The sequence below is a fragment of the Homo sapiens genome, chromosome 7 (genome assembly GCF_000001405.40).
Source record: "Homo sapiens chromosome 7, GRCh38.p14 Primary Assembly".
Classification (NCBI taxonomy): domain Eukaryota; kingdom Metazoa; phylum Chordata; class Mammalia; order Primates; family Hominidae; genus Homo; species Homo sapiens.
Window position 1 is genome coordinate 142635403 of NC_000007.14, and position 26321 is coordinate 142661723.

The following is a 26321-nucleotide window of genomic DNA, read 5'->3' on the forward strand; positions in this document are numbered from 1 at the left end:
AAATCTAAAAGAGTAACATGGACTGAGAAATTTTCAGCAATAATCTAACTCTTAAGCTGATTGGTTCAGGCAAAGGTATTCATTTTATTGCTTCTATATATGCATTGCATATTTGTCATAAATATTGTTCTGTATAGTTCAACATTTCATTATTTAATGTAGCCGGGCACAGTGGCTCATGCCTGTAATCCCAACAGTTTGGGAGGCTGAGGTGGGCAGATCACTTGAGGTCAGGAATTAAAGACCAGCCAGTGACATGGTGAAAGCCTGTCTCTACTAAAAATACAAAAATTAGCCAGGTGCGGTGGTGGGGGCCTGTAATCCCAGCTACTCAGGAGGCTGAGGCAGGAGACTGCTTGAACCCGGGAGACAAAGGCTGCAGTGGGCTGAGATCATGCCACTGCACTCCAGCCTGGGAGACAGAGCAAGATCCGTCTCAAAAATAAATAAATAAATAAATAAATAAATAAATAAATAAATAAATAAATACTTACTTAATGTAAAGCAGCTGCTATGTGATTTTATAAGTGTGTCAAAAGCTACTATTTGTAAAGACCGAGTTGTATGATTCCTTACCTGAGATGGAAGGGAGGGGAAGAAGCAAACTGACAAGTTAAAAAAGTAAATAGAGTGTAAATTAGTTCAACCATTGTGGAAGACAGTGTGGAGATTTCTCAAGGATCTAGAACCAGAAATACCATTTGACCCAGCAATCCCATTACTGGGTATATACCCAAAGGATTATAAATCATTCTACTATAAAGAGACATGCACATACATGTTTATTGCACCACTGTTCACAATAGCAAAGACTTGGAACCAACCAAAATGCCCATCAATGATAGACTGGATAAAGAAAATGTGACACATATATTCCGTGGAATATTATGCAGCCATAAAAAAGGATGAGTTCATGTCCTTTGCAGGGACATAGATGAAGTTGGAAACCATCATTCTCAGCAATCTATCACAAGAACAGAAAACCAAACACCGCATGTTCTCCCTCATAAGTGGGAGCTGAACAATGAGAACACATGGACACAGGGAGGGGAACATCACACATGGGGCCTGTCGGGGGATGGAGGGCTAGGGGAGGGATAGCATTAGGAGAAATACCTAATGTAGATGATGGGTTGATAGGTGCAGCAAACCACCATGGCATGTGTATACTTATGTAACAAAAGTGCACATTCTGCACATGTACCCCAGAACTTAAAGTATAATAATTTTTTAAGTAAATAAATGTATGAGTGATTTTACTTAAAAAAAATAGCAAAACAGTGAGTAACAGAAAAAAAAAAAACTAAAAGCAGGCTGAAACTTACACTATTTTTAACAGCTAAAACAAAGTCTGCCCTCCTACATTCTTTGAAATTGAAATGACTCTGTCCCATGTACAGAGCATCTACAAAGGCTATGGAAAGTGATCACGTCACAAGGAGGTTGCTGACGGGGGCTAGGAGAGTGGGTGAAGAAGCCTTACAGAAAAAGCTACCACTACGATTTCTTTCTGAGCCAACCATGTGCCTCAGACTTCTCTGCTGTGTGGCCATTTCTTTCTGGGGAGCCAGGTAAGGCCCTGTTCTGAACTGGTTGAATTTCAGTTCCAAGACTCTCTCCGGTGGCTGCAGTATCAAGCTCCCTCCTGCGCTTTTTCTACAGCTGCTCTCTCCTTCCTCCACAGGCTCCACGGACACCAAGGTCACCCAGAGACCTAGACTTCTGGCCAAAGCAAGTGAACAGAAAGCAAAGATGGATTGTGTTCCTATAAAAGCACATAGTTATGTTTACTGGTATCGTAAGAAGCTGGAAGAAGAGCTCAAGTTTTTGGTTTACTTTCAGAACGAAGAACTTATTCAGAAAGCAGAAATAATCAATGAGCGATTTTTAGCCCAATGCTCCAAAAACTCATCCTGTACCTTGGAGATCCAGTCCACGGAGTCAGGGGACACAGCACTGTATTTCTGTGCCAGCAGCAAAGCCACAGTGCCGAATGTTAGCCCTTCTTAGAACACAAACTCATTATGGACCCAGCTCAGGAAATAAGTGTGTAGCAGGTTGGTAGGCACTACGTAACAGAAACCCAACTTGAAAGACAATAAATCAGAAGGAAAAACTTGTAAATAACAGCTCTAAGTGAGCAAAAAACAAAGGGGGGTTATTTAAAACAACTGATGGGGACAAAACCCCAGGGAAGGGGCCAGAAGGCATAAAAAGCTTGGATTCCTCAGTGTTCAGCATATTAGGTAAGATATGCTAGGTTACCCTCTCTCTCTCTCTACATGAGCTTTATGGATTTCTAACAATCTTTATTTAAAGAAGGGGATTCTGTGCTTTTCACTTGGTAAAGTTGTGGGTGCACAAATAAGAATGACAAGCGGATCAACTGTGTCTTTCAGGTAGACCCTGATCTTCTGACCCAGCACATTTCCTTGAACTAGAGACAGACTCTAAAGGGCTTTTTGACTGCTTCTCACAGCTCTCCCTGCCATAGAAGCCTAGTGGGAACCATTAGCAATTCCTGCCCTATGGAATGTTACAATCACAAATTTTTATTTTTATTTATTTATTTATATTTATTTTAATTTTTTTTTGAGACGGAGTCTCGCTCTGTCATCCAGGCTGGAGTGCAGTGGCGTGATCTCGGCTCACTACAAGTTCCGCCTCCTGGGTTCACGCCATTCTCCTGCCTCAGCCTCCCGAGTAGCTGGGACTACAGGCGCCCGCCACCACGCCCAGCTAATTTTTTGTATTTCTTTTAGTGGAGACGGTGTTTCACCGTGTTAGCCAGGATGGTCTCGATCTCCTGACCTCGTAATCCGCCTGCCTCGGCCTCCCAGAGTGCTGGGATTACAGGCATGAGCCACCACGCCTGGCCAACAATTACGAACATTTTTAAAGCAACTCTATTGAGACATAAGATATATATGGAATATGTATGCAATAAACAAATCCAACTGCTGCAATAAAACACACCCGCATTTTAAGTGTACACTTCAACAAATTTTAACACATTTTTATACCCATGATGTAACCATGATGACAATCAAGATACAAAACATTTTCATCGTCTCAGAAAGTCCCTCACATCTCTTTATTGAGGTCTTGTTAATTTCTCTCAGCATCGCTTTGTATTTTTTATTATACAGATCTTATATATATTTTCCTAAATTTTATTTTAACAAGATTATAAATGTACTCAATAAAAATATTTTCTGCCAAGATTTCACGTCAGCCTAATTCAATTTCGTCTTTACATTTTTCAATTGACATCTCTACCTCAGTATGTTACATAAAAATACCTTCTCCAGAAATTGCATATGGTTTGGAGCAACCATATGTGAGCTCACAGCGTCAGCCTCATTCACCATGTGAACCAATCAAGTGTCAGTGCTGCTCTGTTTCCAGGTAAAATATACTTATTTACATGTATTGGAAAAGCTGTGAAATTTCTGCAAGGTGTACTTTAAGAAGAGATACATTTTGTTAATGAAAACATACCTATGCGTTAAGATTAATTAAAGGGAATATTTTGCAGTTAAGCACATGATTTGGAATGAGGGGTTGCAGCCCTGCTGGTCGAGCCTCTGAATTCCATTCTTGTTTCTCCCATAGGCCACCTTCATCAGGTCTATAGTTCTACAACACAGAGTGTCAGTAGTAGGGAACGTTGTTCATGTGAGTGCAGGGAATACTTGGGATTCTGTAGTTTCTGCTCAACTTTGCTGTGGACTTAAAATTGCTCCAAAAATACAATTCACTAATTTAAAAATGGATCCAAGTATTCAGATGGAGAATTACCATATTGGAGGCACGAAATGGGAACATACTGTTGAATCTGTTGCAATATAGGAAGAGTGTTTAATGACATAAACTTTTTCATTATTTACTCCTTTATCTAGGAAATAGGACACTATTTAACACTGACTACAATGAGGATCTTAAATACAGTAGAACTGTCTAAATTCCATCAATAAGAATAGTGCATATATTACCAATATTGGGATCTGAGGTGTCTCAGAATTAGTAACACATAGTACTGTAGAGATTATTTTAAAACATAGTGTGGAGATAATTTTGTGATTCCATTTTAGGAATACTATTTCTGATTACATGGTTTCTTAGCATAAAGCCTTACTCTTTCATGCAAGAGAGTATATACTATCATACTATGTCCCTGTAGTTTTCTATTCCAATAATGCTCCTCAGGAATAAAATATACATGATAATCATGATGATGATATGGATAATGATGAATATAATTGATAATGCAGACAGTATGTAGAAAGATAGATGATAGAATTTGTACCATGTTTCCAGGACTAGAACACAATCATGGTAAGTATAATATAATACCTGTTATAATTGAAGTCTGTAAACAGTCTAAAGAAGTAGTTTAAATTGTTTCCCTTGACACCTTGACAAATCTGCAAACTACACATATAGGCTAAGTACTTCCGAGGCTATATGAACGTTCTAAAAAACATTTCCTGTCTGTGGATTCCAGCATAATGCATATTCTCTTCTAAGGCAGAAGTTTTTAACCTGGGATCCGTGGACCTCCAAGGAGTGCAGAGATAAAATTCAGGGAATCAATAAATTTGAATGGGAAAATAGATCTTTATTTTAACTAACCTCCAACTGAAATATACCTTTCCTTCTATGATATAATGAGTAAACCATAGTAGTTTTAGTAATATCAGTGACAAAGTCAATGACAGAAATCACAGACATTTGCTTATATGTTGCATAGATGACAGTTGATATAAAAGTCAGATATTTTCATACCACGTTAAATGCAGTAAATATACTTTCATCACTATGTTGAAATCATGACAGTTTTCAGATTCAGCAGGTTATATTTCATTTAATGAAATTTAAAGGTGTTCCTATATTAATATATGAGAATTTAAAAAAATTGATATCTGCATTTCAAAATAATTTTCTATATTCTAGTTTATGCATTTAAAATGTTATTCTGAGATGGGGTCCTTAGGATTTACCAGTCTGACAAAGAGGTCCCTGGTACAATGTGAAGAACTCCTGGACACAGAATTAGATCCTCAACGCAGGCATGATTGACAACCTGAAGCCTAGACCTACGCATTGGAAACAACTATGTTGCAAGCATTCTTTCTCAGAGTTTCACCCACACTGCCGCACCTCTTAATGCTTCTCACTCTAAATAATTACTTTATATTCTCTTTCTGTCTCTCTCCTGCTCTTTCTTTTCTCTCTCTCTCTCTCTCTCTGCCTTGTTTTTCTTCTAGGAGGGAACAGCAACAGCTTCTAAACCCCACCAGCTTGCAACCAAAAGTTTCATCATGAAAGCATCTTTTAATTGCAGATAACCTCAGAAATAGAACAACATTTGTCTACCAAAACAAAAGCATTCATTAAGAAATCAGCTAGGATCCTATTTTTATTTACTAAAACTACTTGGAAGAACCCATGTTATACAATGAATTTACACTCATACAAATTTCTACTCAGTTGGAAAATGAGACTTTAGTCAGCTGGTACAACCCTATGACCATAAATGTCTCATTTCACTTGATACAGTATTGACTTCCTAACTTCCTGTGAATTAGAACTTCAGGTCCAGAAAGTAATAAGAGCAAACGCAAATCTAGTGTTTCTTATGTACTAAGAACTGTTCTAAATGCTTTATTTATGTAATGTTCATCACAGGTTTTGGGTAGTTACTTATTATCTCAATTTTACAGATAAAGTGAAATTGAAGAGATGCTCTGTAACTTTTCCAAGGTTACATAGCTGCGAAATGGCAGAGACAGGACTAAAGCCCATGCCGTGTCCCAAGTCCCTGCTCTAATCCATTGTCACAAGGGAAGGGGCGCTTCAGACACTTTGCTATTCCTAAAATTGCAGGAGTAGCCCCCACCCCATCTCTACTGTATTAATTATTTATAGTGAATACAGAGGGTGTAGAGAATCGGTTCTTTAAAAAACAAAAACAAAAACAAAACCACTAAACTTCCAAACCCCTTCTTGTGTTGAGTTGAGCACAGGTGCATGGCACTCTGTGTATGACTCTGACCAGGAAGTGAGGGATTGGCTCTTCTGACCATGCAGGCAGGCACTTGTCCATTTAGAAGGGATATAAAAAGCTTCTATAAGCAGAAGAGGAGGTGCATGTGACTTGATCGCTCTAATTCTTAGTCTCACCATCTGCAAAATCAGCTGTGAAAATCAGTCATCACGTAGCAATGACAAATTCTTTATATTAAGTCCCGGGGAGGGGCTAGATCTCAGCCCCTTCCCTTGGCCTCTCTCTCTCTCTTAGAGCCTGTGTCTGTAACTTCAGAGAGATTTTGTCGCTGCCATGGGGAGCTGGGTCCTCTGCTATGTGACCCTGTGTCTCCTGGGAGCAGGTGAGCTCAGCACACATCCAGGTGGTCAATTCCTATTCTGGGCTTGCCAGGCCCTTCCCTGGCCAGCACCTCCCTTCCAGGCATGATCTCCAGCCTTTGTCTCTTGGACCCTTGGATGCTGACATCTATCAGATGCCATTCCAGCTCACTGGGGCTGGATGGGATGTGACTCTGGAGTGGAAACGGAATTTGAGACACAATGACATGTACTGCTACTGGTACTGGCAGGACCCAAAGCAAAATCTGAGACTGATCTATTACTCAAGGGTTGAAAAGGATATTCAGAGAGGAGATCTAACTGAAGGCTACGTGTCTGCCAAGAGGAGAAGGGGCTATTTCTTCTCAGGGTGAAGTTGGCCCACACCAGCCAAACAGCTTTGTACTTCTGTCCTGGGAGCGCACCACAATGGAAGCACAACCATTGTCTCTCTGTGCGGAAATGTGTCCTCACCCTACAGCCCCCACCACATCCTCTAGCTTAATTTTTTCATTTTTAATATTTTCTTGAGATTTTACTATGTCCTGTTACTTTTGCAAACACAAAAGATACAAAACTGAAAAGAAAATAGATCCTTTATCCAAGGAGCTAAAAGTCTAGCAATAAAGTAGTTAGAATGGAAAATATAATGTATAATACTAAAATCAGAAGTCATTTGGGAGCTTTAGGGAGGACATGCCCAATTCTGTCTGATTGAATCAGAGAAAACAAAGAGGAAGTCACATTAGAACTTCACCAGCTAGACCTGGTTCTGAGTAGGGCATTCTGGGCAAAGAGAACAGCTTTTGCAAAGGCATATTAAAGAGTTTGTCACTTTGGGGAACAGTTTACAAAGAGAAAGAAGATGATCAATTTATATGAATCAAAAGAAATGGAATACATTTGAGGAAGTAGACAGAAAGGAGTTTTTGAAAAAGTTGAGTTTTTGGTTCCGTGAATACAATAAGTATGAAAGTCCTTTGTAGGCTGTTGCTCAAAAGAGAGAGCTGAAGCTTCATTGTCATCAGCAGACAAGCAAACAATACAATTTTTCAATATATATATATATTTTCCTCATGTAACTTTGAAATGATACTATTTTTCAATTTTCCTCATATAACTTTGATCCTTAACAAAGGGCACAGTTTCAAACAATATGAAATCATGTTAGCAGTAGCAGTTCCCATTTGGGATAATAGGGTTCAACTGTCTATGGAACAATGAGATAAAAACTAGAAGCAGGCAACTGCATAGACAAGATGTGAAATTGAGATGCCATAAGGCTGGACTAGAGGTTGAGACTCTGCAGATTTCAGCATGTAAATAATTGAACTATGGGGACAGAAAATTCCAACCAAATATAGATTTAGATCACAGAGATAAAAGGCATGGAAGTTAAGACTGTGGTATTCTGGTTCCTTATGGAGATTAAAGAAGCCTAAGAGTGAGGAGTGATTAGAACATGGGATGTAAAAACAAAAGAGGGAAAGAGAGAGAGTGAGAGTTTTGTTTTGTCTAGTATTTGATATTTCTAAGAAAATTCGGGAAAAAAATAAAGGTAACCCAGGCAGAAGAAGCCGCAAACACTTCTTGGGTAACAGGGAATAGTTGGTAAAATGTCATATGTTAGTTTACTGAGGTGCACAGAACCTTTTCCACTGAGGTTCCTTTTGGAAAGACACAAGACTTAGCTAAGATTCCAAGAAATCACCAAAGTAGGAAATGAAAAGCCTCCATGAATGAAGTTGCATGAGTCTCCTACCAGTGGATAAAGGATAGGATAGGATAAAAGAATAGCTGCAAAGGATAAAAGAATAGCTGAGGCACTGAAATAGAAGCTCCAAGTGAGAGGACTAAATCTAACAAACATGAAGAATTATTATAAAACCACAACAATAAAAGTGGTGTAATATAAGGGCATTGATATATAAATAGATCCAAGGAAAAAAATACATGTTCATAAACACAGAGCAATGGTACTGCAACAATCAAAGAATATATTTTTCAATAAATGGTGATAGGAAAATTGGGTATCTATATAAAGAAAAATAAGTGCAATTGGACACATCTCAATATATAGCCAAAATCAATCCCAGCTATATTAAAAGCATAATTGTAATAAAATCACAAGGCTTCTAGAATACTGTATAAGAGCACATCTTCATGGCCTTAAAGCAGGGAAAGAGTTCTTATTCCCTCAATCAGTAGGGAACAGATTGATAAAAATGGCTATATCAAAATTAACATATTGAATTTATCAATGTTAATTATGTAACAGTGACAAGATTGACTGTATAGTGACATATCATTAAATATCTATATATTTATACCAAATTAATATCCCTATTTATATTTATATATTCAAGAAAAGCTAGTATATAAATTTTTTAAAAACCTACAAACTAATTTTTCTACAGATCAATGAGAAAAAGGTAACTGTCAATGGAAAAAGTGAGTGAAAACCATAAGCACCTAGCAAAATCTCACTGGTCATTAAACATGTAAATGTGGCTATATTTAATAATCAGGGAAATAGAAATTGAGTCCAACGAAATATATACCCACAAGAATGGCTACGATGATAAAAATAGTAACTATCAAGTGTTGGCAAGGCAAAGTGTCAACAAGAACTCTCTGAATCACTGGCTAGAGTGTATATCGGTAGATCCAGTTTGGAAAACAATTTGGTATTATCTAGTAAAGTTCAAGATGTGTGTACCCACTATCCATCAATTCCACCCTTGAGAAAGGCTTTTCTAGAGAAACCCTTCTACGAAAATCAGGACAAGAATATTCACTGTAATACATCTGTCATGGCAAAAACGTATAAAATATCCAAATGTAACTTAAGAGAAGAATAAATCCTGGTTATTAAAAAGAAATTACACAGCAGTGAAAATTCATGAACTAAAACTAAACACACAAACATGAATGAATTTCACAAATTTGAATGAAAAATTACATTGCAGAAGAAAGGTACAGTATTGTCTCGTTTGTGTAAAGTTTGAAAGCATCTAAAACTAAACACTATTTTGTTTGCTTATGTGCCTATGCATTAAAATATAAAAGAGAAGCAAATAATTACAAAAACAAACACCTCAATAGAGTTAGAGAACAGAGGCATGGAATCTGGGAAAAGAAATAAGAGCTTTCAAATATTCTGGTAATCTTTTATTTCCTGTGCCAAGTTGTTTTTTTAAGTGATCATTCTGTTGGTATTTTATCAAGTTATTATCTATATATTCAAAGTCCATTTTGTAATGTGGAGAAAACAACCTCACTGAACAATTAAATTAGTAAGGAGAAATCTATGGAAAGATATACATTAAGCTGTTAACATTACTTACCTGAAATGAGGATGAGATGGAGGAAGAGAAAAGTAAGCGAAAAAAAAAATCATCAAAAAATGCACAATTTAAAATAAATAGTTACAGAGAGAAAAAGCAAAAAAGGGAGGTTATGTAAAAGAAGCACTAGTAAATGAACAAGCTAAAATACACCAGAAAGAGCTAGAAGGTGAAGTATTTTTCAAAGCAGTCACTAGTTTCAGAATCATAAAGATAGCAATTACAACAGAGATCTGAAATATATAAAAGATAATTAGATAACTAATAGCCAGAAGGAATGTCCAGTCTTGAGTTAGAAACTGATGCTCAAATTAATGGCAAAGGACGTTTTTGAAACAACTGTGAAACTTTGCATAAAAACTAAATAGTAGATAAGATGAAAATGCATCGATGAGAAAGGATGATCATTAACTGAAAAAAAGCTTATCAAACAGAATTTCAAGAATATTGTTTACTAAAAAAAGTGTCTATATATCTACACATTTATATATGGGGCAGAGAAGGATCTAGAAAGACTCACTAAGGTGTTAACAGTGATAATTGCTTTCTGGCAGTGGTATCATATTTTTATTTTGTTATTTTATTTTCTAACTTTCTAAAATATGAGTGTATTGCTTATATTAGCAAAAATAGACATAACATATTTTTAAATGAATACAAAATAACTGAGTTATATTTCCTGAGTTAGGATAAAAGCTTTTTTTCCCTGATACTATGAAGTGTTTTTGCTCAGGAACATGAAGCAATAACATGATGATTATAAGTCAGTGGAGGGATCACGTCACAAGAAGGTGCAGAAAGGGGATGAAAAAGCCTCATCCCTTTGCAACGTCAATGCGATCATGGGCACCAGGCTCCTCGGCTGTGCAGCCCTGTGTCTCCTGGCAGCAGATGCGCCCTGAGCACAAAAGAAAAATCCTTGTCCTGGGCTTGCCAACCAGCAGATCCAAGCTTTGTTTTGTTTTGTTTTGTTTTGTTTTGTTTTGTTTTGTTTTGTTTGTTAAGCTCTTTCCTGGACTCTTTCTACAGCATCTGTTTCTTTCTCTTACAGACTCTTTTCATGCCAAAGTCACACAGACTCCAGGACATTTGGTCAAAGGAAAAGGACAGAAAACAAAGATGGATTGTACCCCCGAAAAAGGACATACTTTTGTTTATTGGTATCAACAGAATCAGAATAAAGAGTTTATGCTTTTGATTTCCTTTCAGAATGAACAAGTTCTTCAAGAAACGGAGATGCACAAGAAGCGATTCTCATCTCAATGCCCCAAGAACGCACCCTGCAGCCTGGCAATCCTGTCCTCAGAACCGGGAGACACGGCACTGTATCTCTGCGCCAGCAGTCAATCCACAGCACTGAAATGTCAGTTCCTCTTAGCACACAAACTTGTCACAGACCCAGCTCAGGAAGCAGGTGATGTATTAGGCTGGAAGGGAGTAACAGAAAATAACTGGAGCCAGCTTAAGCCACAGTGTAATTTAACACAAGGATAAAGGGTGTTTAGCAGAAGTCAAGAGGTGATAGAAGTTCTGAAAAGGCACCACTAGGGCTGGGCTCTAGAATGGCTATCTCTCCAGCGCTGATTTTTATTCAATTTTGGCTGCTGAATGCTTTTCTCTCCCTGTACACCATCTCTTTTTCTCCAGGCCTCGTGGTGAGAATGAGATGGTCACTAAAGATTACAAATTCAGTTGCCATCATTTCCCTACACTGATAAATACCAGGCTGGCTCTTTCTAAGCCTCAATTCAAAATCCCAAGAGAAAAAAACAGATCAGTCATGATCCAGCCATTAACCTTCTCACAGAGCACTCAGCAGTAGGCATGTATGTATATATTTAAAATCACATAAATATTACTTTTCCACTCAGCTCAAGAAAGGGAAGTGCTCCGTTTTTCTGTAAGTACATTTGGTCTTGTTGCTTCTACATGATAGAGAGTACTCATACCCATTTCTTCAGAAATACATAGCCAGATTTTCTCCAGTTTTCTGCCAGAATTGAAAATTCTTGTACAAATACCTTCATAGACTTGTATGATTGCTTTATAGGATTATATACCCAGAGCAAGTCATGATTGCTGAGACATGGAATTCTATGCATATTTTATCTATCTAAATACCACCACGGGTTCTTCAGGATCACTGTATACATCTGCAATCCCACATAAAAGTGAATAGGGTGTTTTCCTACATCCTAATATCTCCTTTAATCCTTATCCAGTGATCTAGATTGTTCTCAGTCTAGCAATGTAAAGAGATTCCAATCTCTGTCTCTCTTTCTCTCCACCCCCCACCCCTGCAACCCTCTCACCTACTGCCAGAATATCATCAGTGTTTACCATAAAGATACAGGTGACAATTTTTTAAAACTAAATAAAACCAATAATTTAAAGGAACTGAGAGATTACGTTATACTACTATAATAATAACTGGCAGCAATCTAGAAGGCTGAATAATGTTCTCTCCCTCCTTTTCTTTCCTTTGCAATTTTCTAATTACTAATGAGTTTGAGCACTTCTTCATGTGATAGTGGTCCTGGATTTCTGTTCTCAAAATGGCCTATCCATATCCGCTGGCAAATTCTCTATTGACAGTTCTATATTTTCCTCAATGATTTGTAGGGGGTCCTGAGATATACAAGATATTAGTCTCCTTTCTGAAACTTTAGGCACTGGAAATACCACCACCCAATATGGCACCACCTCTGTCCCAGACTTCAAAGAATCAGTAGATGTGGGAGGAACCAGGTGATCTCTTACCTTAGCAGGTGCATGCGTGTTATCTCCATTATGTGAATGAGACTTCTATCTTTCACTTCCACTCTGCTGAGTGCTCAACTTGCTGTCTCTTCCATTATTACTCATGTCTTTAAGCAGCATAGAAAAGTTACCAGCCATGGCTGTCCCCAAACTACTATCACCCACTGACAACCCTTTCCATCCAGAACTGCTGAAAAAATGCTTCACTCCATTTAGCTGTGCTTTTTTACAATATGGGGCAAATTTGATTCAAATTAATTCTTATTGCTCTTTTCTAAGTGAATTATGCTGCCTGGTTATAGCAAAGGACAGAAAAACTTCACACATCTTTTTGGAAGACTTAATACTTGCCCACACATTATCTCTTTTAGGGCCAAATTCCATCCACTGCAAACACCTATCTCCTTGAGCTCTTGATATGACAGCTGATCCATTTTGATTTCACAAATGCTTACAGAGCAACTCCCATTCACTGAGACATAAAGGCATTCAGAAACTTTCAGCTACACTACATGGAATTTTGGTCTCTGGGGAAAGGGAGAAGAGTAAAAAGAACCATCAAAATGTATTTCAAATAATGTGTATAAGGATGACAAAATATAGATTACTTTCATGAAAAACATTAGAACATTATATTGTCTTTGGGAGTGATTTATCAGTGGATAAATTAAAACAAATTCCTGAGGAAGTTTGGGAAAAAAATAAATTTAGGAAAACAAATTTTAAATGATTTCCTGAAAACCATCAGGGTTTACCATAAAGTTAACAATTGAAAAAAATCAAATAATTTAATAGTGAATGAGAATATGAATACAGAAAATTCATATGAATATGGAATGAAATATTAGTAAAAATGTGTTTGAGAACACTTACAAATGAATTTTGTTGTCCAATTTGATTAAGAGTCTAGTCAAAGTGTTACTCTTTTAAACTACTTGTAATAGTGTCAGTTTGACAATCTGGAACAAAAACCTTTAAAATGCTTATTTTTGGGAATTTGGCTCTAAATCAAAATAGATAGTTGTTACTGTACTTGTTCTATTGCCTTAAGCCACTATAAAACTTGACAAAAATTGTAAGACAACTATGTTCAGACATCAGACAACAGGCAGTACACGTCGCCATCTCTGGGAAAGAGGAAACCTAGAAGGGGAATTTCGCTATTGTCCTAAGACTCTGCCTTGGTATGACTTCTGGGCTGCACCACAAGTATATGAAGCCCAAGCAGTGGGCAGTGGTCTACCCAGCATAGGGAGGCAGAGATTGAGTTCAGAAGTATGGACATGGCTGATAGTGATAGGGATAAGCTACTGCAGAGAAGGAAGCTATGCAGAATAAGACCTCCAAATATTTTATGAGGTCCCCTTAAGTCTTTGGTCAAAAACTAAGCAGCAAATGCATGGGAAACGCCTCCATAAGACCTGGCAGAGAACAGTTGCTGGGTAGTTGTGAGAGGAATAGAGATTCTGACAGTCATACGAGCATGGGAGACATGAATCCTGACTGGGCAGAGCTGAGAGGCCTTGCTGAAACCCCTGGGAATGCAGCTGGCACCACATAAGGGTCACATCTCAAGAGAAGGACTACCAACGTCCTAGAGTAAACCACTCCAGAACTGCCCTAACAAAGTTCAGCAAGTCTCAAAAGGATGTCGCTGATCTTCCAATAAGTTCACTGCCTTTTGAAGAAAAATATCTCAGCACTCTCTAAATAAAGGCAAATATAAACATATACATATATATAATCTGTAGATATATAAGTCTGTAGAGAGATATGTATCTCTAGAGTGTCAACAATGCAGCATCTACAATTTTGATCTTGACATGAAAAAAAATATTAGACATGGGAAGAACTAGGAAATGTTACACATGGGAAAAAAATAAACAATAAAAACCAACCCTGAAATAATACAAATGTTGGAAATTTCAGATGAGAATTTTCAAGCAGTTATTATAGAAATATGTTCAAGAATTTGGAGGAAAATATGGTCATGATTTAATCAACTGATGAAATTGATTAACCCATAGCAATCAAGACAAAAAGGGGAAAGACACAAATTACCATATCAATGATGAAGGAAAGCATATGTCTATAGATACAAAAGACATTAAAATAGCGACAGAATATTATAAGTATATGCAATACATTCTTCAACTTAGATGAAATGAAATTTCTTGAATAATACCACTTACCAAAATGATTCAAAATGAAATAAGAAATGTAAAGAACTTCAAATGAAGGAAGTTAAATTTTTTATCAAAAGCCTTCCCTCAAAGGAAACTCCAGACCTGAATTATTTCTTCATGAATTCTATTCTAAAATTAAGGAAAAAAGACTATCCATCTTACATAAATTTTTTAAGAAAATAGAAGAGGCAGAAACACTTCACAACACTTTTATAAACCCAGCAAAAACCTAATGCCAAAATCTGTCAAATGCATTACAGAACAGTATCTTTTATGGCTGCAAATGAAAGAAAACTTTTCACAATATATTAACAAATTAAATCCAAATATGTCTCAATAAAATACTGGCAAACTGGATCTAGGAGCACATCAAAAAGCTTATCCACCACGATCAAGTTGGCTTCACTCCCGGGATGCAAGGGTGGTTCGACATATGCAAATCAATAAACGTAATTCATCACATTAACAGATCTAAAGACAGAAACCACGTGATTATCTCAATAGATGCAGAGAAGGCCTTCAATAAAATTCAACATCATGTTAAAATCTCAATAAACTAGGTATTGAGGAACATACCTCAAAATAATAAGATCTATTTATGACAAACCCACAGCCAATATCATACTGAATGGGCAAAAGCTAGAAGCGTTCCCCTTGAAAACGAGCACAAGACAAGGATGCCCTCTCTCATCACTCCTATTCAACATAGTATTGGGAGTTCTGGCCAGAGCAATCATGCAAGAGAATGAAATACAAGGTATTCAAATAGGAAGGGAGAAAGTCAGATTGTCTTTGTTTGCAGATGACATAATCCTATATCTAGAAAACCCCATTGTCTCAGCTCAAAAGCTTCTTAAGCTGATAAGCAGCTTCAGCAAAATCTCAGGATACAAAATCAAAGTACAGAAGTCACAAGCATTTCAATACATCAACAACAGGCAAGCAGAGAACAAAATCATGAATGAACTCCCATTCACAATTGCTACAGAGATAATAAAATACCTAGGAACATAGCTAACAAGGGAAGTGAAGGACTTCTTCAAGAATAATTACAAACCACTGCTCAAGGAAACCAGAGAAGACACAAACAAATGGAAAAAGATTTAATCCTCATGGATAGGAAGACTCAATATCATGAAAACTGCCATATTGCACATAGTAATTTATAGAGTCAATGCTATTCCCATTAAACTACCATTGACATTCTTCACAGAATTAGGAAAAACTATTTTAAAATTCATATGGAACCAAAAAAGAGCCCAAACAGCTAAGACAATCATAAGCAAAAAGAACAAAGCTGGAGGCGTCATGCTACCGGACTTCAAACTATAAGGCTACAATAACCAAAACAGCATAGTACTGGTACAAAAACAGACATATAGACCAATGGAACAGAGTAGAGAACTCAGAAATGGATCACACATCTACACCATCTGATCTTCGACAAACCTGACAAAAACAAGCAATGGGGAAAGGATTCCCTATTTAATAAAAGGTGTGGGGAGAACTGGTTAACCATTTGCAGATAATTGAAACTAGACCTCTTCCTCACACCTTATACTAAAACTAAATCAAGATAGATTAAAGATTACATGGAAAACCCAAAACTATAAAAACCCTAGAATAAAATCTAGGCTATATCATTCAGATATAGGCACATAGATTTCATGATGAAATCATCAAAAGCAATTACAACAAAAGCAAAAATTGACAAATGGGATCTAAAGAGCTTCTGTACAGCAAAAGAAATTATCATCATAGTGAACAGGAAACCTACAGAGTGGGAGAAAATTCTGTAGTCTATCCATCTGACAAAGATCTAATACCCAGAATCTACAAGAAATTCAAACAAATTTACAAGAAAAAAACAAACAATCCTATTAAAAAGTGGGCAAAGGACATGAACAGACACTTCTCAAAAGAAGACATTCATGAGGCCAACAAACATACCAAAAAAAAAATCTCAACACCACTGATCATTAGAGAAATGCAAATCAAAACCACAATGAGATACCATCTCATACCAGTCAGAACAGCCATTATGAAAATGCTGGCAAGGTTGTGGAGAAATAGGAATGCTTTTCCACTGTTGGTTAGAACATAAATTAGTTTAACCATTGTGGAAGATAGTGTGGTGCTTCCTCAAAGATCTAGAACCGGAAATACCATTTGACCCAGAAATCCCATTACTGGGTATATATCCAGAGAAATATAAATCATTCTATTACAAAGATACATGCATGCATATGTTCATTGCAGTACTATTCGTAATAGCAAAGACATGGAATCAACCCAAATCCCCATCAACGATAGACTGGATAAAGAAAATGGTACATGTACACCATGGAATACTATGCAGCCATAAAAATGAATGAGATCATGTCCTTTGCAGGGACATGGATGAAGCTGGAAGCTGTTATCCTCAACAAACTAACCCAGGAACAGAAAAACAAATGTTGCATGTTCTCACTTATAAGTGGGAGCTAAACAATGAGAACACATGAACACAGGGAGAGGAACAACACACACTGGGGTCTGTTGGGGGGTGGAGTGGGGGGAGGGAGAGCATTAGGAAAAATAGGTAATGCATGCTGGACTTAATATCTAGGTGATGGGTTGATAGGTGTAGCAAAGCACCATGGCAAACATTTACCTATGTAACAAACCTGCCCATCCTGCACATGTACCCCAGAAATAAAAAAAAAAGAAAGTAGAGTTGCTATAAAGTACATCTACTGGGGGGGAGGTAACACCAGATAATTCACTCAAATTTTGATGAACAAAAGCTTCCAAAAATTAATTTTCTTCAAAAAATAGAACATTTACTTTTGGATCAAAAATAAATAAATAAATCCAAATATGTATGGATATATGTATATATTTGTGTGCATATACATATGTGTATATGTGGACAATTCTACCACATGTCCAAGGGAGTTTATTGCAGGAGAAACAGTGGTTTAGCATTCCAAAATCAATATACTTCACCATATTAGCAGAATAATGAAGAATAATCACTTGACCATCTCAATAGATGCAGAGAAACCTTTGACAAAATCAATACTTATCCAAAAGACACACTATCAGTAAACTGGTAAGACAGTTATCTTAATCTGATTAAAGTTATAAATGAAAAATTTACAAATAACATCCGATGTAATAGTGTGTTGAGTACTTTCCTCCTATAATAAGACACAAGCCATGAAGTTTTCTCATTACTTTTTACTTTATTTTAATTATAGATGAGGTCTTACTATATTCCCCAGGTGGGACTTGAATTCTTGGGCTTAATAAATGCTTGCACTAAGCTGCTCACTACTTTTATTCAATATTATATTGGAGATCTTAACCAGCATGATAAAGCAAAAAAATAAAAGTTTTAAACATTGAAAAGGAAGAAGTACAATTATTTGTAGATTACATGATTGTTTACATAGAAAATCATAAGAAATCAAGGAACAACAACTAGAAATAGTGAATTTACCAATATCACAGGATACATCAGTATTTTAAAAATCAAGTTTTTTTTACTAGTTGAAAACAATTGAAACACAAACTTCAGAAAATAATACTATTTACAATAGTGCCAATAACAAATTACTTAAGAACAATTTAGAATAGATGTTCAATTAAAAACTACAAAACTCCACAAATGGAAATTAAAGAAAATATTTTTAAATGGAGAGATATATCATGTTTATGGATTGGAAGTTTCAATGCATTAAGATGGTAATTTTCAACAGGTATGTTGGAAAAACTGGATAATCATATGGAAAAAATGAACCTTTACTGTCACCTACCACTATAAATGAAAGTTAAATTGAGATGTTTCATAGAGGTAATTATAAAAGCTGAAACCACAAATATTCTAGAATAAAACATAGAAAAACATCTTTGTGCGTTGAGAGTGGGCAAAATTCTCTTAGGACACCAAAAACTCTAAGCAGTAGTGAAGAAAGAAAATTATTTATCCTTTGGCAGCCTTTTATGCCACAGGGTGTGTGTTATACAGATCAACAACTCACACATGGAATGAGGGGTTCAACAGTCCTTAGAATCACGTACATACGCACAGCAAACAGATGGACATGGTCTGTGGGTGAGACCAAGAAGTCTGTGTTTTGCTTGTGGTAGAGTATAGGTCAGAGCAAAAGTGGATTATAAATACGATTTGAGAGGTGCGTGAGCCAGCCCAGAGTACAGAATATATTGGCCTGTGCCATGAAGAACCCTCTCATTTGTCCAGAAATTGGGATGCCTTTTTCAATTTCATTCCCGTGCAAATGTGTGTCTCCTCCATTCATTCCTCTGATAATGCTCACTCACTCCTCCTCGGGCATAGATTCTGCTCCCAGAATGATTTCTGCTTCTCCTTTCCTTGCTCTGCACCTACAAACTTCTATCAGAAATGCCCGGGAAAACGGTCTCTCAACCACTGGATATGAGTCCTCTCTTCTCTCAACTAATGTGATCACCAAGAATAGTTCATATTCAGCTCCCAAATATTAATTCCACTCAAATTACTGCCCACAGCAGGGGGCACCAAAACAGCATGTTTACTTTAAGAATAGCAAATAAGGGCAATGATTTTTTTTTTTTTACGTTGAAGACAAAGCCAAAATAAAAGTTTTTATGATCATTGTCTTGTTTATATTCATCAGATGCCTGGCTAAGGAATTTACTGGAACAAATCCGTATTTTCATTCATATTACTAATGGAGAACTCTAACCAAAAAGAGAAGAAGGGAGGGGACACTGGAATATGTCATCTGGAGTGTAGGCAAAGGCTGTAAAATGTGCTTGGGTACTCCTAAATAAAGCAACAACTATTCAAAATTACACAGGAGAGGCAGAAGTGGTGAAGGAGGAGGTAGATGAACAAGAGAGGCCATGAGGACTTGGTAATTACCAAAGATGACTCATGTGAGGACATGAAGGCTCATTGTTTATTAAGCCTACTTTGTATATGTTTGAAATTTTTAGAATTAAAAGTAAAAATATCTAAAAATAAGACTTTACCAATTTGACATGCAGCAGGAATGATTAGGGTAGGATGCCATGGTGTATCCATGCATGAGGGAGGGTCAGTGATATGGACAGGAGACGGAAATACTGGGTAGAAGAGGGTGGTTTCCCAGCAAAGGCCCCACCCTCAAGCCTGGAGACCTGCAGCTGTAAATGGGGACAAGCATTCCTGTTTTCATTCCCAAAAAGTTGTCTTTTGACCCACCATGCCCCCTTTCTTTTACCCATATAAACCCCAAACCCCAGGCTTCAGAGGCAGAGAAGCAGGCTAGGAGACAAGCAGAGGGAGGGCAGAACAACGTGGCAGAGAAAAAGAGGAGGAACGTCTGAAACCCGAGAGGAGTTCAGCTGGAGGTGGTCAGAGAAGAGTTCAGTCCCTGGATGGCCAAACTCCAAGGGGAAGATCATCTTCTCACTCCATCCCCCCTTCCAGCTCCCCATCCATCCCACTGAGAGCCACTGCCACCACTCAATAAAACCCCACATTCATCCTTCAAGCCCATGTGTGACCCAATTCTTCCAGGACGCTGGGCAAGAGCTCGGGACACAGAAAGCTGTCACACTGGCCCTCTGCCCTTGCAAAAAGGCAGAGGGTCCACTGAGCTGGTTAACACTCAAGCCGTGTGCAGATGGCAGAACTATCTGCCCACTTGGGCTCCTGCATCTGTCCCTCTGTGTGTTCCCTTTCCCCTCAGGGGTTTGAGCAGTTGCAGCAACTGAAAAGGTGAGCAACACTCCTGTCGCACGTCCTTCCAGGGGGGTCAGGGAACTCTTCCTTTTTCACCAGGACGAGCACAGATCTGAAGCAGCAAAGAGCCAGTTGTTTATTACATTGAACAATGTTTCACACTATCACCATAACTGTTCTGTACTTGCAATCTGCTGCATTAAATATTAGCTCTTTCCTCCTAAAGTCAGGAATAATTTGTGTTAGAATAAAATGAATTCTTTAATGAACAACTGTATTTTCAGCTAATTCAAAATAGGAATGAAGGCGTTAAGTACTTCTTTGAAGCACATACCCACATTAAACTAACATCTTTCTACAATAAGCCAATATTTTTAATAAAGCTCTGTGCCCAGAAAACATTGACCAGAAAAGCAGGAGCCACTAAAAAATAGGAGCAATTTGAAACAAAGTTAGGAATCCTGTCCTTCTTACAACAAAAAAGTCTCAAACTTTACAGAGAATGTATTCAAATTGCATAGTTTACCAAGAACTGAGTTAGAATAAATGATTAAATGCAGAAAAAAAGGAGAAGAGTTATAATGTCCTATCATTCAAGTGAGACTAGACTTCCTTTATTCGAAATTCAATTTGGTTTTGAATTTTCTCCAGCCTGTTTTATCAGGAGGATGATGTCACCTTGAACAACTGAAATGGATATGCCCTGAGAAAGGGGAGAGATACAACTCTCTGGTGGTTGCCAGTAAAGCGCCAGAAAAACAGAAGAGAAGCAAGTAGAAGAATTTCAGCATCTGCTAAGAACATATAATACATAAGCCAACATGGCATCTTTCTTTAAGACCCAGTACCTTGGGAGGGACAATGACATCACTTCCTGAATCCTCCCAGTTTTCTATTTCCATGCCCTGCTTCCCTCAACATCCAGAGCTGGAAACACCTCCATCCTGCCTCTTCATGCCATGGCCTCCCTGCTCTTCTTCTGTGGGGCCTTTTATCTCCTGGGAACAGGTGAGTTTGGAACACAGATGGGGAAATCACTGCCTTAAATTTTCCAGGTTCTGAATTAAGCCTATCCTCAGAGATTGCAGCACGAGGATATTTACCAGTTTCTGTCTTCAATTTCTGTCTTATTTCCCACAGGGTCCATGGATGCTGATGTTACCCAGACCCCAAGGAATAGGATCACAAAGACAGGAAAGAGGATTATGCTGGAATGTTCTCAGACTAAGGGTCATGATAGAATGTACTGGTATCGACAAGACCCAGGACTGGGCCTACAGTTGATCTATTACTCCTTTGATGTCAAAGATATAAACAAAGGAGAGATCTCTGATGGATACAGTGTCTCTCGACAGGCACAGGCTAAATTCTCCCTGTCCCTAGAGTCTGCCATCCCCAACCAGACAGCTCTTTACTTCTGTGCCACCAGTGATTTGCACAGTGCTTCTTGGCCACCTGCTCTCTACACAGAAAGACAGACACATGGGTGAGTTGTTTGCTCTGAAGGGTACCTGGATGTGGGTTGTGGGATGTGGGGTGTTTAGAGCTTTCAGTGGTCTTAGGTAGTGTGAGCTAAGGGCCACTTTGGATCAATGTCCCCAAGCCATGTGATGACTCTGAAAGCACAGGCTACACTGAATCAATCTCCCCTGTCTATTTATTTTTCCTAGGGAGCTAGACGAATGGTGACCTTTCAGGAGAAGGAACTTGAGCATTTGACAGAAGCTCATGATTTTCAACAAGAGCATTTCTTATGAGCTGAATACAATGCAGTTTTTATAGTCCTTTTGCCATTATTTCCACCCACTTTGCAACATCCCACACTTTGTTCTGTTCCCACTGACAGCTCCTTTATCCTGTCTAACCTTTCTCTGCCCCAGTTCTTCCAAGCTCAGCTCCACCATTTAGCTCTATAATTGATTGCCTTTCTACTAAAAACAAAATAACTAGCTTGTTTTCTAAAACTTCACTGTAAGTAAATTTAATTGTCATTAAATCTGACTCAGAAGTTAAAGTTCAAGTAACAGAGACTGTGATTTACAAAAGTAATTTTTCATCTACTACCCCACACTTTGATCTCTGCTGAGATTCATTTTAACCTGCAGGTGCAGATAGACTTGCATTATTATCTGGATGTACTGAATTTCAAAAAATAAAATTCCCTGTCCCCAGTATGAGGTCAAAGCTAGGAGCTTGGAAGTGCCCCTTGTTTCCAGGCACTAGAATAATTCCCTGGTTCCCCTGCTGTGGGGATTCTTTTAGGAGCCAGTGAGGCCCAGGCACAAAAATAATTGATCAAGGACTGCCAGAGCTTGACGTAAAAGTCTTCCTGAGAATCAAGTTGATGTCTTCCTCATGGATTTAGTCTTCTTGTCCCATAAGCCTCAATTATTTCAGCAAACGAATCCATGGGACTTGGTGACTGTTCAGAAATGAAGAATCCAACTTGTTCCCTTTTCTACCTGTTCTCATGTGTAAAGCATGTTACTTTTAGGGATTCTTTCTCATTGGCTTCCATTTAAAAAACAGGTTTCTCCAGAGTTTTGTTTCCTGCTTTCTATGCACACCTCATCAAGTCTTATCAGCAATAATAATTCTTCCCTTACAAGCTGTTAACTGTCCCAGTTAATTGTCTCCTGGACATTTCTGATAGATTTCCCCAGGATTTTTCCTTCTGCCCTCCTTTTTCCTCAGTACACATGTCTTTCCTCAACCTTCGCATTCATTGTCATGACAACTTCTTTCATAGGTTCCTGCCTGGCAAATTCAACTATCTACTGGACACTTGAAGCTGGATGCTCCATAGGCAATTCAAACTCAGTTTATCCCTGAAATAAACTGCCTCTCCATCCTTGCACTTGCCCATTTTGGCCACACACTGTATTTCTATCTCAGTGATTGGAACAGCCCTTCTAGGTTCCTCATTTTTGCTATGCCTCATATTAAATCAGTTTCTAAATCTATTACTTGTATATCACACATTGTCATAGTTTATGTTCTCCAAAAGCAGATTTTGAGAGGAAAATTAGTGTGCGGGAAGGTTTGTGGAAACTGCCCTTGCAGTCCACGTGGGCAGAGGGAAATGGGGCAGAGGGAGAAGTTGGGCTTTGCTGTATCCTCAACAAAGTCCTTCACTCACCCCACAGGGAGCTCTGAGTCTGGATGGTCCTTTAGTGCCATCCCAAGGTGAGATGGCAGGTCTTATTCCCACTTTCCTTGTAACCATGTCATTATATGTGAGTTGCTCTGAGAAGCACTCATGAATTTGATGGGGAGGAAGTGTCTCTTTAGAACAAGACCATTCACAGAGAGATGTCGGCATCACAGTTTCTAATATACACATATTTATCTGATTCAGTTACCCCTCTCCCTCCTCATTGCTTCTACCTCAGTGCAGACCCTCATCACTCATTGCCTAGAAATAAATGCAATGCCCTCTCCCTGGCTTACTAGCTTCTTACCCCTTTCCCTTACCCTATTTCTCACATTGCCACCAGCATGACCACATATGACATTCCTCACACAACACACAAAGCCCTTCGGAAATGGTTCTCCAACTAAACATCTGGCCAAATTGGCCGAATTCACTCCAGCACTTTAGACTGTAGCTGAACTGAACTTTTTATATTTCCCTGAATATACCAGCCTGAATTGCACAGGTGTACCTTTGCCAAAGCTCTTTCCTTCATCTGAAATGAGCTTCTTTATTCCTTTTTTGTCAAAACTAATTTTTTAATTTCAACTTTTATTACAGATTAGTGGGCACATGTTGTGCAGGTTTGTCACATGGGTAAATTGCGTGATGCTGAGACTTCAGGTCCCAACAATCCCATCACCCTGGACATAAGCATAGAATCCAACAGGTGATTGTTCAGCCCATGCCCTGCTCCCTCCTTCTCCCATCTAGTGAGCCCCAGTGTCTATGGTTTCTATCTTTACAATCATGTGTATTCATTTAGCTCCCACTTAACATATAGTATTTGATTTTCTGTTCTTGCATTAATTGCTTAAGATAATGTCCTCCAGCTCCATCCATGTTGCATAAAGGGAATGATTTTGTTCTTTTATGGCTGCATGGTATTCCATGGTGTATATGTACCACATTTTCTTTATCCAGTTCACTGTTAATGGGTGCTTAGGTTGATTCAATGTCCTTGCTATTGTGTATAGTGCAGCAATGAACATAATGGGTACATGTGTCCTTATGACAGAATAAATTATTTCCCTTTGGGTATATATCCAGTAGCGGGATTGCTGGGTCAAATGGTAGCTCCATTTTAAGTTCTTTGAGAAATCTCCAAACTGCTTTACACAGTGGCTGAACTGGTTTGCATTCCCACTAACAGTGTATAAGTGTTCCCTTTCTTCTGCAGCCTCACCAACATCTATTGTTTGAAATAAATCTTGAGTGCCTGGCTAATCCTCACATATCCTTTAATTCTCAGATCAAAGATGAGCTTATCTATAACAGTTTTTCCAATGTCTGTAGACAAAGATTCAGCTTTTCTCTTGTGTGTGATAGTTTATGCATTTCAAAGTTATCATAGTTGTTATGTCCCTTCATACTTCTTTAACTTTTATTTTGGGTTCATGGGGACATGTACAGGTTTGTTATAATAAACAGTTATATGCAAAACTGTGATGCTGATCTCTTTCTTTTTATGGCTGCATAGTATTCCGTGATGTATATGTACTATATTTTCTTCACCCAGCTTACTGTTGGCGGCCTTTTAGGTTGATTCCATGTGTCTGCTATTGTGAATAGTGCTGCAATGAACATCTGTGTGCATGTGTCTTTATGATAGAATGATTTCTACTCTTTTGGGTATATGCACAATAATGGGACTGCTGGGTCAAATGGAAGTTCTGTTTTCAGTTCTTTGAGGAATCACCATACTGCTTTCCATGATGGCTGAACTAATTTACACTCTCACCAGCAGCATATAAGCAATCCCTTTTCTCAGCAGCCTTGTAAGGATCTGTTATTTTTTGACTTCTGATAATAACCATTCTGCCTGGTGTGAGATGGTATCTCATTGTAGTTTTGATTTGCATTTCTCTAATGATTAGTGATGTTGAGCATTTTTTCATATGTGTGTTGATCACATGTATACCTTTTGCTGAAAAGTGTCTGTTCATGCCCTTTGCCCACTTTTTAATGGGGTTATCTGTTTTCTGCTTGTAAGTTTAAGTTCCTTATAGAATCTGGATATTAGACCTTTGATGCATATATAGTCTGCAAATATTTTCTCCCATTCTGTAGTTTGTCTATTTACTCTGTTGATAGTTTCCTTTGCTGTGCAGAAGCTCTTTAATTAGGTCTCATTTGTCAATTTTTGATTTTTTTGAAATTGCTTTTGGTATCTTCATCATGAAATCTTTGCCAAGTCATATGATTAGGATGGTATAATATTTCCTAGGTTATCTTCCAGGGGCTTTATAGCTTTAGGTTTATATTTAAGTCTTTAATCCATCTTGGGTTGATTTTTCTATATGGTATAAGGAAGGGATCTAGTTCAATCTTTGGCATATGGCTAGCCAGTTATCCCCAGCACCATGTGTTGAATAAGGAGTTCTTTCCCCGTTGCTTGTTCTAGTCAGCTTTGTCAAAGACCAGATGGCTGTAGGTATGTGGCATTATTTCCTGGCTCTCTATTCTATCCCATTGGTCTATATCTGTTTTTGTACAGTACACCATGCTGTTTTAGTTACTGTACCCTTGCAGTGTAGGTTAAAGTTGGTAACATGATGCCTCTAGCCCTTGTTCTTTTGACTTAGGATTGCCTTGGCTATTTGGGCTTTTTGGTTCCACATGAATTTTAAAATACTGTTTTTTCTAATTCTGTGAAAAACGTCATTAGTAGTTTGATAGGAATATTAGGTTGGTGCAAATGTATTTGCAGTTTTTGCATTGTTGGAATTTGCCATTTGGTATTGAAATACATT

At 38.0% G+C, this 26321-nt stretch overlaps 3 pseudogenes, 1 gene segment (V, D, J or C) and 1 further gene, besides 12 other annotated features; all 5 read left to right on the top strand.

The window, feature by feature from the left end:
- The window catches only part of TRB (T cell receptor beta locus), a 514277-nt gene that overhangs the window by 336392 nt on the left and 151564 nt on the right, over positions 1 to 26321 (top strand).
- TRBV21-1 (T cell receptor beta variable 21-1 (pseudogene)) lies at positions 1522 to 1982 on the top strand (annotated as a pseudogene). The gene is given in 2 exon segments: positions 1522 to 1571; positions 1685 to 1982. Coding segments are annotated over 2 exon segments (348 nt in total), but the record flags the coding sequence as incomplete, so codon positions are not given.
- Positions 1983 to 1989: a recombination feature (RSS_heptamer).
- Positions 1990 to 2012: a recombination feature (RSS_spacer).
- Positions 2013 to 2021: a recombination feature (RSS_nonamer).
- TRBV22-1 (T cell receptor beta variable 22-1 (pseudogene)) lies at positions 6344 to 6794 on the top strand (annotated as a pseudogene). Its single transcript is given in 2 exon segments — positions 6344 to 6392; positions 6499 to 6794. Coding segments are annotated over 2 exon segments (345 nt in total), but the record flags the coding sequence as incomplete, so codon positions are not given.
- Positions 6795 to 6801: a recombination feature (RSS_heptamer).
- Positions 6802 to 6824: a recombination feature (RSS_spacer).
- Positions 6825 to 6833: a recombination feature (RSS_nonamer).
- TRBV23-1 (T cell receptor beta variable 23-1 (non-functional)) lies at positions 10559 to 11065 on the top strand (annotated as a pseudogene). The gene is given in 2 exon segments: positions 10559 to 10607; positions 10768 to 11065. Coding segments are annotated over 2 exon segments (347 nt in total), but the record flags the coding sequence as incomplete, so codon positions are not given.
- Positions 11066 to 11072: a recombination feature (RSS_heptamer).
- Positions 11073 to 11095: a recombination feature (RSS_spacer).
- Positions 11096 to 11104: a recombination feature (RSS_nonamer).
- On the top strand, positions 21335 to 21811 carry TRBV24-1 (T cell receptor beta variable 24-1). The segment is given in 2 exon segments: positions 21335 to 21383; positions 21516 to 21811. Coding segments are annotated over 2 exon segments (345 nt in total), but the record flags the coding sequence as incomplete, so codon positions are not given.
- Positions 21812 to 21818: a recombination feature (RSS_heptamer).
- Positions 21819 to 21841: a recombination feature (RSS_spacer).
- Positions 21842 to 21850: a recombination feature (RSS_nonamer).